We start from the raw sequence: 13,726 nt of genomic DNA, 5'->3' as shown, positions 1-13,726 counted from the left end.
TAAAATGAAGCACTCTCTTCTGGGCCACCCACTTTTGGGTTTGTGCTTTTCATTGTCTTTGTGCTGTTTTGTAATTTTGTAAACTGTAGATAAGCAACAGCAATGCAAAGGATTTTTATCTGTAGATGTGCAAATTAATTCTTTCTGGTAGAAAGAACACTTGATTCCCCATCGTGGCAGGCAGAGTAATGGACCCCCAAAGATATCCACAGTTTGAGTATGTTACTTTACGCGGCAAAACAGACTCTGCATATGTAAATTAGGTAAAGATCTTGAGGTGAGGAGATTACCCTGAATTATCTCGGAGGGCCCGGTGTAATCACAAGGCTCCTTCTAGGAGGAAGGCAGGAGGGCTGGGGTTAGGGCAGGAGATGTGGCTTTGGAAGCAGAGGGTGCAGTGAGGCCTGGCCATGAGCCAAGGGATGAGGGCAGCCTCTAGAAGTGGGAAAGGCAAGAAAACAGGCTCTCTCTCTTTTTTTTTTTTTGAGGCAGAGTCTCGCTCTGTTGCCCAGGCTGGAGTGCAGCGGTGCAATCTCGGCTCACTGCAAGCTCCGCCTCCTGGCTTCAGGCCATTCTCCTGCCTCAGCCTCCAGAGTAGCTGGGACTACAGGCGCCCGCCACCACACCCGGCTAATTTTTTGTATTTTTTTTAGTAGAGACGGGGTTTCACCGTGTTAGCCAGGATGGTCTCAATCTCCTGACCTCGTGATCTGCCTGCCTCGGCCTCCCAAAGTGCTGGGATTACAGGCGTAAGCCACTGCGCCCGGCCAGAAAACAGGCTCTCATGGGGCCTCCCGAAGGAACTCTGCTCTGTCCACCCACTTTGGACTTCCCATCTCCAGAACTGCAAGACAATACATTTGCTGTTTTAAGCCACTTACATTTGTGATAATTTGTTATAGCAGCAAGAGGAAGCTAATGCAAACCCTACCAAAAAAGAGCCAATTTGATATATATTTATACATCCACTTCATGATCCATAGGTGTCTCTGTTCTTTGAATTCTCCTTTAAACTAGTTGTGGTAGCTTACTGATTTTTTCATTCATTCACGAGTTGAGTCAAATATTTTAAATGTGTGTATTTTTATTTATTTGTTTATTTATTTCGGAGACAGTCTCACTCTGTAACTTGGGCTGGAGTGCCGTGGTGTGATCACGGCTCATGGCAGCTTTGAACTCCTGCACTCAGGTGATCCTCCTGCCTCAGCCTCCTGAGGAGCTTGGACCACAGGCACATGCCACTATGCCCGGCTAATTATTTTTTAATTTTTGTAGGGACAGAGTCTCAGCATGAATGAGAAGAGACAGCAGACACGAACACTGAGATGACACAGATGTTAGAATTATCTGATAAGAATTTTAAAGCAGCTGTCATAAAATGGTGCAATGTGCACATTATGAATGCGCTTGAAACCAATGAAAAAGGAGAAAGTCTAGGCAAAGAAATAGATGATATTAAGAAATAAATGAGGCCAGGCACAGTGGCTTATGCCTGTAATCCCACCACTTTGGGAGGCCGAGCTGGGCGGATCACCTGAGGGAGTTTGGGACCATCCTGGCTATCACGGTGAAACCCCGTCTCTACTGAAAATACAAAAAAATTAGCCGGGCATGGTGGGGTGCACCTGTAATCCCAGCTCCTTGGGAGGCTGAGGCAGGAGAATCACTTGAACCCAGGAAGCAGAGGTTGCAGTGAGCCAAGATTGCGCCACTGAACTCCAGCCTGGGCGAAAAAGAGTGAGACTCCATCTCAAAAAAAAAAAAAAAAAAAAAAAAAAGTAAGGATAAAATATAGAATAACAATATAAAAACTCAATGGATGGGTTTAACAGCAGAATGGAGAGGATGGAGGAAAGAAATCCATGAACTTGGAGGTACAATGATATATATTATCCAATCGGAATAGCAGAAAGAAAATAGCCCGGAAAAAACAACAACCCATTAGCAAGTCACTGCTGAAGGGCAGGGCCTTCACCTTCCTGTTCACTAAAGTATGCCAAATGCTCTGTCCAGCACCTGGCATACGGTAGGCACTCATATTTGTTGAATGCTCTAATGCCCTGTGCGTGTGGATTCCCCTTTGTCAATGTTTTTGTTTGTTTGGTTTTGGTTTTGCTTTTTACCAGTTTAAGTGAAGTGTTTTTTCTGAAGGCTCTGAGACAGAATTGGATTCATGCCTCTCTCCTGGCTTCTGGTGGCTGCCGCAATCCTTGACCTTCTTTGGCTTTTGGACGCATCACTGCCACCTGTGTCTCCGTCTCCACATCGCCTTCTCCTCTTTGCCTTTTGTCTCCAATGTCCTTCTTCCTTTTCTTACAGCTGTCATTGGATTCAGGGCCCACTTTGACTCCAGGATGATCTCAACTCGAGACTCTTCATTACAGTTGTAAGGACCCCTTTCCAAATAAGGTCACACTCACAGTTCCAGGGGTTAGGAGCTGGACATACATTTTTGGAGGCCTATTCACCCCCTACAGAGATGGAAAACAGACGAGTGGCTGTCAGAGGTTAGGGATGGTGGGGACATGGCTGTGTAGGTGACTATCATGGGGTGGCTCCCAAGGGTGATTTTTGTGGCAATGGGACAGTTTTGTATTTTGATTGTAATAGTTACATGAAACTACACATATGATAAGATGACACACATTGGGTCGGGCTTGGTGGCTCACGCCTGTAATCCCAGCATTATGGGAGGCTGAGATGGGCAGATCACCTGAGGTCAGGAGTTAGAGATCAGCCTGGCCAACAAGGTGAAACCCTTTCTCTACTAAAAATACAAAAACTAGCCAGGTGTGGTGGCGGGCTACGTATAGTCCCAGCTACTCGGGAGGCTGAGGCATGAGAATGGGTTGAACCTGGGAGGCAGAGGTTGCAGTGAGCTGAGATCGCGCCACTGCACTCCAGCCTGGGCGAGAGAGTGAGACTCTGTCTCAAAAAAGAAAAAAAAAAAAGATGACGCACATTGCACCAATGTCAATTTTCCCGGTTTTGATGTTGTACCATAGTTATGTAAGATATTGTCACTGGGAGAAACTGTGTGAAGTGTAAATGGGGACATCTCGATACTATCCTTGCAACTTCTGTGAATCTATAATTGTTTCCAAATAAAATGTTCAACAAAACCCTACGTGCACATGCACACACAGACACAAACATAAGCAAAGTCAAAAGACAAATGACAAACAGGCAAAAAAATTCTTTTCTTTCCCAGAACAAGACCCAAATTGATTCAGCAGACATTTTAATTAGGAAATCCTATAAATCAGGACCACTTTTAATTTCAGACACTCCGTTATGAAGCGTACATCTACATCTGGAGGATGAACAGGCCATTGAATCTCTTAAAAACTGGCTTTGCTACCTTCGCATTTGGGGGTAGGACCTTCGTAAGACACCATTAAGCTTCAAAGGGCAAAGCCTGTGATTTCTCCTCGGGGAAAGCCACATTTTAAAACCAGCTTCGGTCACAAAGAACAGCTGCATGGGAGAAGGAGACAAACCGCACGGGGAGGATGTGCAGAGCCTGAGGCCCACAGCTTCACAGAGGCCAGCACAGAGCAGAAAAACATCCAGGGTCTCTTGTCCATTCCTACAGACACCAGCAAGGATGGAATAAGAAAGTTGGGCTGGGAGGATGGGAGAGAGGCTCAAGAGATTGTTTAGGTGGGCCCAGTGGCTCACGTCTATAATCCCAGCATTTTGAGAGGCCAAGGCAGGAAGATTGCTTGAGGGCGGGAGTTTGAGATCAGCCTGAGCAACATAATGAGATCCCATCTCTACACAAAAATACAAAAATTAGGCGGGGCGCGGTGGCTCATGCCTGTAATCCTGGCACTTTGGGTAGCCGAGCAGGGGGTGGATCACGAGGTCAGAAGTTCAAGACCAGCCTCGCCAAGATGGTGAAACCCCGTCTCTACTAAAAATACAAAAATTAGCCAGGCGCTGTGGCAGGTGCCTGTAATCCCAGCTACTTGGGAGGCTGAGGAAGGAGAATCGCTTGAACCTGGGTGGCAGAGGTTACAGTGAGCCGAGACCATGCCACTGCACTCCAGCCTGGGCAACAGAGCGAGACTCCGTCTCAAAAAAAAAAAAAAATTAGCCAGCATGGTGGTGGCATGCACCTGTGCTCCCAGCTACTAGGGAGACTAAATCAGGAGGATCACTTGAGCCCAGGAATTTAAGGCTGCAGTGAGCCAAGATTGTGCCACTGCACTCCAGCCTCGGCAACAGTTTTTAAAAAGCCAGTTTTTAAAAGATTCAATGGCTTATTCATCCCCTAGAGGTAGATGTACACTTCATAACGGAGTGTCTGAAATTAAGAGTGGTCCTGATTTATAGGATTTCCTAATCAAAATGTCTGCTGAATCAATTTGGGTTTTATCTTGGAAGAAAAAAGATTTTTTTTTTTTGCCTGTTTGTCATTTGTCTTGTTGTTTGTCATTTGTGAGACCTTGTCTGAAAACAAAAAAAGGAAAAAGATTGTGACTGCTTCTGAGAAAGCTCCTGGTGTGGCTAGAGTGGCCTTGTGGGAAAAGAACAAATTCTGTAAAGAAGAAAGCAAGAAAAAGCAAGTACTTCTCCCCACACATCCCCTCGCCCGTTTGCGTCCTCTGGAGACTCCAGGCAGTAGCGGAGCACAAACAGGGCTCTTCTCGGCGTGAGACAGAAAAGACACCGCGGTGAGTTAGCTTTCCCAGGAACTGCACGGCCTCCCACCTACAGCCAACCCTGATCTTGAACCGCGACTGGCAGGGTTGAGTCCTTTACAAGCGCACACTCAAATTCAACTCTCAAATTCCCCTTCAAAACTGTCCAGGTCCCTCCAGTCCCCTAAATGGAGTTGACATCTCCCACCTTCTCCAGCCATAAACCGGTGGGAGAAAGGGTCGGCCCCAACCCACCCACGGCCAAGCTTTTACATTTTCTCCCCGACCCCGTAACACCACCTTCACTAAGTTCCTCCACCGAAAATCACAACGAAATGTATGCGTGTCCTCAGTTTTTAGTATTGTTATAGCCCTCAAGATTCCCAACCCTCGGAGCCCTGTCTTTAAAGAATCCAACCTCACGATGCCCCCAAGGGCTAAGACAGGCTCACGGTGATGCCAGCGGCTGCCCCCGCTCTCCCCGTCTATCCCCGGTCTTTGGCCCCGACGGCCACCAGTGCGTTCCTTCCCTGCAGCCCACACCACTTCTCCCACCCAGAGGTGGGGTCTATTTCCTATTCCTTAAATCTGGGCTGACCTTGTGACTTTCTATGACCAAAGGAATGCAGAAGTGACATTTCCTGACGTTGGAATCCAGGCCTTAAGAGGACTGGCAGCTTCTGTTTCCTCCCTCTTGAAAGCCAGCTGCTATGTAAGAAGGCTGACTTCCCTGAGACCACCACGCTGTGAGGAGGCCCCAGCCGAGGTGACGTGGCTATGCAGACGAGCACAAAGGCACTCGACAAGTGAGTGAAGGCTTGGTGGACCATCCAGCTCAGCCAAGCTGCCGGCCAAATGTAGCCGAGTGAGTAAGCCCAGCTGGTAGCAAGTAGAGCAAGAGCCACCCAGCTGTGCCCACTCGACCCGCAGAATCCTGAGGAATAATAAATTATGTCGCTTTAAGCCATTAGGTTTTGAGGTAGTTTGTCATGCAGTAATAGATAAAGATAGCTTTTACTTTCCTAAGAAAGAGACCAAGGACTACAAAGAAAAAATGGGCAAAAGAAAGAAATAGTTCATACAGAATGAAATGCAAATGATCCTTAAACATCAAGAGATGCTCAACCCCAGTTGTAATAAGAGAAATGCAAATTAAATTGCCCTTAGACATCATTTTGCGCAATTCAATTTGGCAAAAATCCAAAATTGTAAAATACATCGTTGGTGTGGCTGTGAGGAAACAGGTTTGGTTGTGGAGAATACAAAATTGTACAAACCTTATGGAGAGCAGTTTGGCATTGCTTATAAAAAATACAAATGTATTGGCCGGGCGCGATGGCTCATGCCTGTAATCCCAGCACTTTGGGAGGCCGAGGCGGGTGGATCACGAGGTCAGGAGATCGAGACCATCCTCGCTAACACAGTGAAACCCCGTCTCAACTAAAAATACAAAAAATTAGCCAGGCATGGTGGCGGGCACCTGTATTCCTAGCTACTCAGGAGGGTGAGGCAGGAGAATGGCGTGAACCCGGGAAGCGGAGCTTGCAGTGAGCTGAGATGGTGCCACTGCACTCCAGCCTGGGCGACAGAGCAAGACTCCGTCTCAAAAAAAACAAAAAACAAACAAACAAACAAAAAAATGTATTTATCCTTTGACCCAGCAATCCTACCTCTGAAAATCTATTCTACAGACAGATATTCACGAGTATAAAATGACCCATGAACGAGGTTATACACTACAGCACTGTTTGTAATGGTAAAAGCTTGGAAACAAGCCAAGGGCCTGCCCATGGGGAGCTGGCTGAATAAACATGAAACACAACTGGAAGAAAGAATAAGGAGCTACTTCAGGATATAGTAAGAAAAAAAAGAAGGTGCAAGATACTGTATCAATGATGTTACCTTTCTGTAAGAAAAGAGTGGAAAATAGGAATAAATATATTTGCATTTCCTTGTTGTAGTTGTATAAAGAAATACAGAAAAATAAACAGAAAATGAATAAAAATGGTTATGTGAGTGTGAGAGAGACAATTGTGGGGAAGATGAAGATGGGAGTTAGAATTTTTTTTGTATAGTTTTATACCCCATTTTAATTTTTAATTTTTTAGAGACACAGTCTTGCACTCTTGCCCAGGCTGGAGGTGCAATGGTGTGATCATGGCTCACTGCAGCCTCGAACTTCTGGGCTTAAGCAGTCCTCTTGCCTCAGCCTCTCGAGTAGCTGGGAATACAGGCACACACCACTATGCCCGGCTAAATACAGGCACACGGCACTATGCCTGGCTAAGTTTAATTAAAAATTGTAGAGATGGGGCTTCGCTATGTTGCCTAAGCTGGTCTTGAACTCTTGGCCTCAAGTGATCCTCCTGCCTTGATCTCCCAAAGTGTTGAGGTTATACGTGTGAGCCACCGTGCCCAGCCTATACTTATTTTATGCCTCATCATGTCATTTTGACTTTTGAACCATGCAAACATGCAACAAATTAAAAGCCAATCTCGGCCCGGCACTGGTGGCTCATGCCTGTAAGCCCAGCACTTTGGGAGGCCGAGGCGGGCAGATCACGAGGTCAAGAGATTGAGACCATCCTGGCCAACATGGTGAAACCCCATCTCTACTAAAAATACAAAAATTATCTGGGCATGGTGATGGGTGCCTGTAGCCCCAGCTACTCGGGAGGCTGAGGCAGGAGAATCGCTTGAACCCGGGAGGCGGAGGTTGCAGTGAGCCGAGATCACGCCACAGCACTCCAGCCTAGGTGACAGTGTGAGACTCTGTCTAATAAAAAAAAAAAAGTCTCAGGTGGAGAATGAAACAGAAGGGAGTGGCTGTTGATGTCGCTGGGATTTCTTTTAAGGATGCTGAAAATGTTCTAAAATTAGATGGTGGTGTTGGTTGTACCACTGTGAATATTCTAAAAATCATTAAACTGTATGCTTCACATGGGTGAATTTTATGGTATGTGGAATATATCTCAATAAAGCTGTAAGAAAAGAAGTAAGGCACACATACACCCCAAAACTTTCAGGAGTGAAAAAGAAGATACATCTCAGGTACAGCAAAGATTAAAATGACAGTAAAAAGTACTATGGCTTTGATACAGAAGTGCTGGGAAGGGAAGGGCACGGTCCCTGGCTAGGGCTCCACCCCCAGGCCTGCGCCCACGGACCTAGGTGAGGACAGGCATTTTTGTTTTCCTGCCCATATATTGCATTTTCCAAGACTACCCTGGCCGGCCACGTCCCTATCCTGTGCCTATAGAAACCCGAGACCCTAGCGGGCAGACACGCAGGTGGCTGGACAGAGAAGCACGTCAGCAGAGGAACACACGGGCGGCTGGACGTTGACAGGAGCACATGGGTTGAAGAGCACGCCCATAGGCACAGGCAGAGGCCGGCACGCCGGCAGGCCATTGACCGGGGGAATGACATGGAGTTTGGCTGAAGTGGTCGGAGAAGAGTCCAGCCGCTGAGTGGCTGACTCCAGGGGAAAACCATCTCCCTTCTGGCTTTGCCATCTTCTGACAGCTACTTCCACTCAATAAAACCTCGCACTCATTCTCCAAGCCCACGTGTGGTCCGATTCTTCCGGGACACCAAGGCACCTGGTACACACCTGGGACACAGAAAGCCCTTTGTCCTTGCAACAAGGTAAAGGGTCTAATTGAGCTGGTTAACACAAGCCGCCTATAGATGGAACACCTAAAAGAGCACATGCAGCCCACGCCCACTGGGGCTTCAGGTGCTGTGAACATTCACCCCCAGACGCTGCCTGTCTGTATGCTCTCCTAGAGGCTTGAGCAGTGGGGCCCTGAAGAAGCGAGCCACACCCCCTGTCACATGCCCTGTGAGGAGGACAAGGGAACCTTCCCCATTTCAACCTGATGCTCATAAACTCAAAACTGTCTAAAACACCTAGAAAATACAATTAATAAAAACCAGCTTAAGGATAAATAGAAAACCTGAATGAAGAGTCTGATAAAATTTAAAGAAATTAGATTATTAATAAACAATCTTTCACAAAAGAAACAGACCGAGGTAAGTTTAAGACCTCTTTAAAGGAGAAGATGGTTTTGGTTTTATATATAAAGTGTTCTGGAGACAAAGAGGAAACATTCTCCAATTCTTTTTATAGTTCGAAAAAGAGAAAATTGGGAGAAAAGTCATTACAGGCCAATCTACTTATGAACATGGATGTGAAAACCCTCTAGGTAAAATATTGCGCAAATCAAATCCAGGCAAAACACATAGTAGTATAAGAGTTCAGGCCGGGCGCGGTGGCTCACACCTGTAATCCCAGAACTTTGGGAGGCCGAGGCGGGCGGATCACCTGAGGTCAGGAGTTAGAGACCAGCCTGGCCAACATGGTGAAACCCCGTCTCTACTAAAAATACAAAAATTAGCCGGGCGTGGTGGCACATGCCTGTAGTCCCAGCTACTCAGGAGGCTGAGGCAGGAGAATCCCTTGAACCTGGGAGGCAGAAGTCGTAGTGAGCCGAGATCGCACCGCTGCACTCCAGCCTGGGCGACAGGGCAGGACTCCATCTTGAAAAAAAAAAGAAATATAACAGGTCACGTCCAGGTTGTTATGTTCCAGAAACTCAAGGTTGATTTAACATTAGAAAATTGACCTGTGAAGTCACCATATTAATAGGCACAGGGAAAAGAGAGCAGATGATATTCTTTTTTTTTTTTTTTGAGACGGAGTCTCGCTCTGTCACTCAGGCTGGAGTGCAGTGGCGCGATCTCGGCTCACTGCAAGCTCCTCCTCTTGGGTTCACGCCATTCTCCTGCCTCAGCCTCCCGAGTAGCTGGGACTACAGGCGCCCGCCACCTCGCCCGGCTAATTTTTTTTTTATTTTTAGTAGAGGTGGGGTTTCACCGTGTCAGCCAGGATGGTCTCGATCTCCTGACCTTGTGATCCGCCGGCCTCGGCCTCCCAAAGTGCTGGGATTACAGGCGTGAGCCACCGTGCCTGGTCAAGAGCAGATTATATTCTTAATAGATGCATGAAAATAAATTGATAAAATGTAAAAACCACTCATGATTGGAAAAAAACTCAAACTCTTAGCAAATCTGAAGTGAAAGAAGATATACACTAACAATCTATGGGAAACGTCACATTTGACAGTGACATACTAGTCGTCATCCTCAGCCAGTCAGGAATACAATCAGATGCCCAGCACGCTGTTTCCACTGGAGATTGTCCTGAGGGCCCCAGACAGTGCAGACAGAGAAGAAAAAGAAACTCAATGTTTGAGAATGAGAAGAAGGGAAAGCAAACTGTAATCACTGTCTAATGATATGATCATATAAATAGAACCTCCCCCAAACTTGCAGACAGATGACAGAATTAATAGGGTGGTTGAGCTAGTTGGTTGATCAATAAACAAAAATCAATTGCCTTTCTACATTCCAAAAAGCAATGAAAAAATCAATTTACCAAAGTAACAAAAAGTATAGGGTGCCTAACAATAAAGCTAGCAAGCGTTCTGCAAGGGACTTCTAAAGGTCCCAGTTTCGATGGCCTCAGGTCCAACCCAAATGTGGCAACAGAGGAGAGAGACGGCGGAGCACGGACTGACATCTCAGACCCACCCTATAGCTCCTGTCAGATTTCCCCTTCATCAGCCTCCAGCATGGTGTCAGAAGGTGTCGAGTTAAAGAGAATATTAAACAGAGCGTGTAGGCAGCTCCCCAGCAGCCACCATCTTAAAAGCCGGCCCCTCATCCTGCCTTCCCCAAGGAGCAGCTGGCGGCGCTGACCCGGCCCAAGGCCTCTGTGTCCCCCAACAGGTGTCTCCGATGACACCTGGTCCCACTCACAGAGCAGGGGGGCACCAGCCGTGCCTGCTGGGTCGGAGGGTGATAATGGACGCAGCAGCTGGCTGGGGATGCTTCTGCCTCATGCTTCCACGTGTTTTTTTTTTTTTTTTTTGAGATGGAGTCTTGCTCTGTCACTCAGGCTGGAGTGCAGTGGCACCACCTTGGCTCACTGCAAGCTCCGCCTCCTGGGTTCACGCCATTCTCCTGCCTCAGCCTCCTGAGTAGCTGGGACTACAGGCGCCCGTCACTACACCCGGCTAATTTTTTGTATTTTTAGTAGAGACGGGGTTTCACTGTGTTAGCCAAGATGGTCTCGATCTCCTGACCTCGTGATCCGCCTGCCTCGGCCTCCCAAAGTGCTGGGATTACAGGCATGAGCCACCGCGGCCGGCCTTCCACATGTATTTTTAAGAAGAATTTTATTTTGCCAATGCGTAATCCTATGGTCTGAATGTTGGTGTCACCCCCAGCTTCATATACTGAAGTCTAGTCACCAACGTGATGGTATCGGGGGTGGGAGGGACCTTTGGGGAGTGATGAGGGCAGAGCCCTCATGAATAGGGCTAGGGGCTATCTATGAACCAGGAAGCAGCCCTCACCAGACGCTGAATTTGCCAGCACTTGATTTCGGGCTCCCAGCCTCCAGAATTGCAAGAAAGAAATTTCTGTCGTTGATAAGCACCCAGTCTATGGTATTCTGTGATGACAGCTGAACGCACTAAGAGAGGCAAAGCATCTACATTGTTAACAAAACAAACCTCAGGGCAGGTGAGAGAGGGGACCCACAGCACATGTAGGAAGTGGCCTGAGCTGCACGCGCCCCACCCACCCCAGGGCCCTGCTTGTCCAGCGTCTCTCTCCTCTGGAGAGGCCCCGTCCCATGCCTGGGCTTGCCCTGCCTCCACCTTGAACAAATCTCCTAGAGGAAACAAAAGGAAGAAAGAGAGCATTTCCCTGGGCAACCTCTCCACCCTGAGAAGACCACCTAAGCTCCTTGATGCCCACTCCCTATCCCACCCTTTGCTCTGAACCTGGTGTGACCCAGGGGCCAGTGGGGGGTCTTCCTGACCCCCAGGGCAGGTCTCCCTATGCTCCCATCCCCAGCCTCGCCCCCACTTCATGATAGAACGTGGCTTTCCCTACAACGGGCAGGGACAGGCCATGGCAGACCACAGCAGTGTGGGGGAGTCTGTAGGGACTGTCTGCATTAGCAACACAGGGTCCCCAGAGCTTAGGTGGCTGACCTTCCTTGGCTGGTGTGGTGCAGGTGAGGGGTGGGGCAGAGAGTGGGGGTCATTCCGGCCTCATAGAGCAGCTCCTGCCAAGGCATGAAGTGGGAGGGTGTTTGGGGCCCACACCTCAGACACCTTTCAAAGTCACCCTGGTCAGAGATGCATGGCTTGGGCCTTCGGATAGAAGAGGCCTGCTGGGTTTTCGGAGCATCCTGCCCTGCCATGGGTACCCCCGCTGGGGACCTGGGAGAGAGTGGGAGGGGCCTTGGGGAGATCCCCCTGTGTGCCTCAGAGGCTAGGCTCCCAGGATGGGGATGTCTGGGAGCAGGGATTCCGCAATAAGCCGGGCGCCTTCCTACTCCCCCCAGGCTCTTGGATCCTGTTTAGCGACCCTGGGCAGAGATGATGGCTGGATCCACCATGGGCTGGGAGCTGAGCTGGGGCAGGGGTGGAGGCTCTGCTCACCCAGGCTCGTGACCTTGTGTGGCCCAGAACCTGAACTATCTGCTGTGCAGACACCAACTGGCCAATAACAGCACCCAAAATTGTCCAGAGCGAAAATGTAGTTTGTTGTTATCGCAGCCTGAAATTTCAGGAGTGGGCAGTGGCCTCGGGTGGGCGTCTGTGTCATCCCGAGAACAGGAAGAGGCTTGTCTCTGTGGGTGCTGATGGAGTGGGACAAACTGTAGGAATTCGGGTGCCCTTGCCCTTCAAATCAAGCCCCAACACGGAATTTAGCATTTTTACACTGATTGGAATTTGTGGCTTATCGCTGCTACTCACACCATCCCAGCAAGCATGGCTTAAATGTCAAGATATATTTTTCAAGTGCATAAGACACCAAAGATCACAGCTGCCTGGAAGAGTGAATTTTAATTAGCGAATGGATCCCATAAAACCGCCCAGCCCCACTGGAGCGGCCCTGACGTGCTTTGTTCGGTGCTGGGTGTTTGTTACAGACTCAGATGGTTGGCGATAGTGTCCAGAGGACCCCGGGGCTGCCTTAGTGGGAACTGGTTTTAACTTTCAAACCTTATCAGTTAAGTCACTCATGCCAAATACCTGTGGAGAAAGAAGTGGGCACACAAAGCACTTCATGAGTAGCTAATGGTGTGGGGCGCCCCAGAACCTTTCACGCACCCTGGTTGCTTAGCAGTTAATTCACACGGTCTAGAGTGAACTCATTACCCCATAGGAAGGCTTGGTGGGCCACTGCATTTGGAAAGGCATTCCCTTACCAGTTCCCAGCTCATGTTCCCTCCTGCCTGCTCCCACTTTTTGCCTCCTAGGTATCAAAGAAGGGGGTGCCAGAGAAAGCCAAGGGCGCCCCCTTCTTTGATGCCAACAGAGACTCATGTAGTTCAGTGACAGTTGGGCTAGCCTTGCCCCAGCAACTGGGCACTGAGATGAAGGGTGAGGTCCTGACCTCTGGCGAGCTCACAGATTCCTGACATGGAAGCATGCAGGCTGTGACAGGGTGACCAGGTGCCCGGGTGACAGCGTGACCGCGGTGGACAGCGAATGCAGAACACAGTGGGGAAGGCACGTGTGGGCGTGTTGGGAAGGTGGTGAACTGGGTCAGTATTAGATGGATTTTAGATGATGAATACGAACTTCCTAGGCAAAGGGGGACAGCAAGGCCTGGAGGGAGGGCTGGGGACAATCGGTCCTCAGTGCTCAGAGCTGACTGGCGAAAGTGACAGTAAAACAATCAGGCATCAGGTAAGAGCCAGAGGCAAGAGTCAGTGACCCCGAAGAGCACGTGGGTGTTCCCAGCGGCTCCACAGGTACCTAGGGTTAAGGTAGGAAAAGTTAAACAGGTCACTGATACCGAGAAGTCAGTGTTGATCAATAACTTTGAAAAGAGAGGATAGGGCTGAGCGTGGTAATCCCAGCACTTTGGGAGGCCGAGGTGGGTGAATCACCTGAAGGTTGGGAGTTTGAGACCAGTCTGGCCAACATGGTGAAACAACCGTCTCTACTAAAAATACAAAAAAATTAGCTGGGCGTGGTGACGGGCGCCTG

General features: G+C 48.7%; 3 annotated features.

The window, feature by feature from the left end:
- Positions 7,443-7,942: an enhancer, noted in NCBI's record as "H3K4me1 hESC enhancer chr5:178899887-178900386 (GRCh37/hg19 assembly coordinates)". NCBI's record gives its function as "activates a minimal SCP1, AML or CMV promoter by ChIP-STARR-seq in naive H9 embryonic stem cells {active_cell/tissue: H9 hESC(naive)}" and the evidence as "EXISTENCE:reporter gene assay evidence [ECO:0000049][PMID:30033119]".
- Positions 7,943-8,444: an enhancer, noted in NCBI's record as "H3K4me1 hESC enhancer chr5:178899385-178899886 (GRCh37/hg19 assembly coordinates)". NCBI's record gives its function as "activates a minimal SCP1, AML or CMV promoter by ChIP-STARR-seq in naive H9 embryonic stem cells {active_cell/tissue: H9 hESC(naive)}" and the evidence as "EXISTENCE:reporter gene assay evidence [ECO:0000049][PMID:30033119]".
- Positions 11,879-12,603: an enhancer, noted in NCBI's record as "H3K27ac-H3K4me1 hESC enhancer chr5:178895226-178895950 (GRCh37/hg19 assembly coordinates)". NCBI's record gives its function as "activates a minimal SCP1, AML or CMV promoter by ChIP-STARR-seq in naive H9 embryonic stem cells {active_cell/tissue: H9 hESC(naive)}" and the evidence as "EXISTENCE:reporter gene assay evidence [ECO:0000049][PMID:30033119]".

Source organism: Homo sapiens, chromosome 5 (genome assembly GCF_000001405.40).
Source record: "Homo sapiens chromosome 5, GRCh38.p14 Primary Assembly".
NCBI lineage: Eukaryota > Metazoa > Chordata > Mammalia > Primates > Hominidae > Homo > Homo sapiens.
This window is presented reverse-complemented; position numbering and strand designations above follow the sequence as displayed.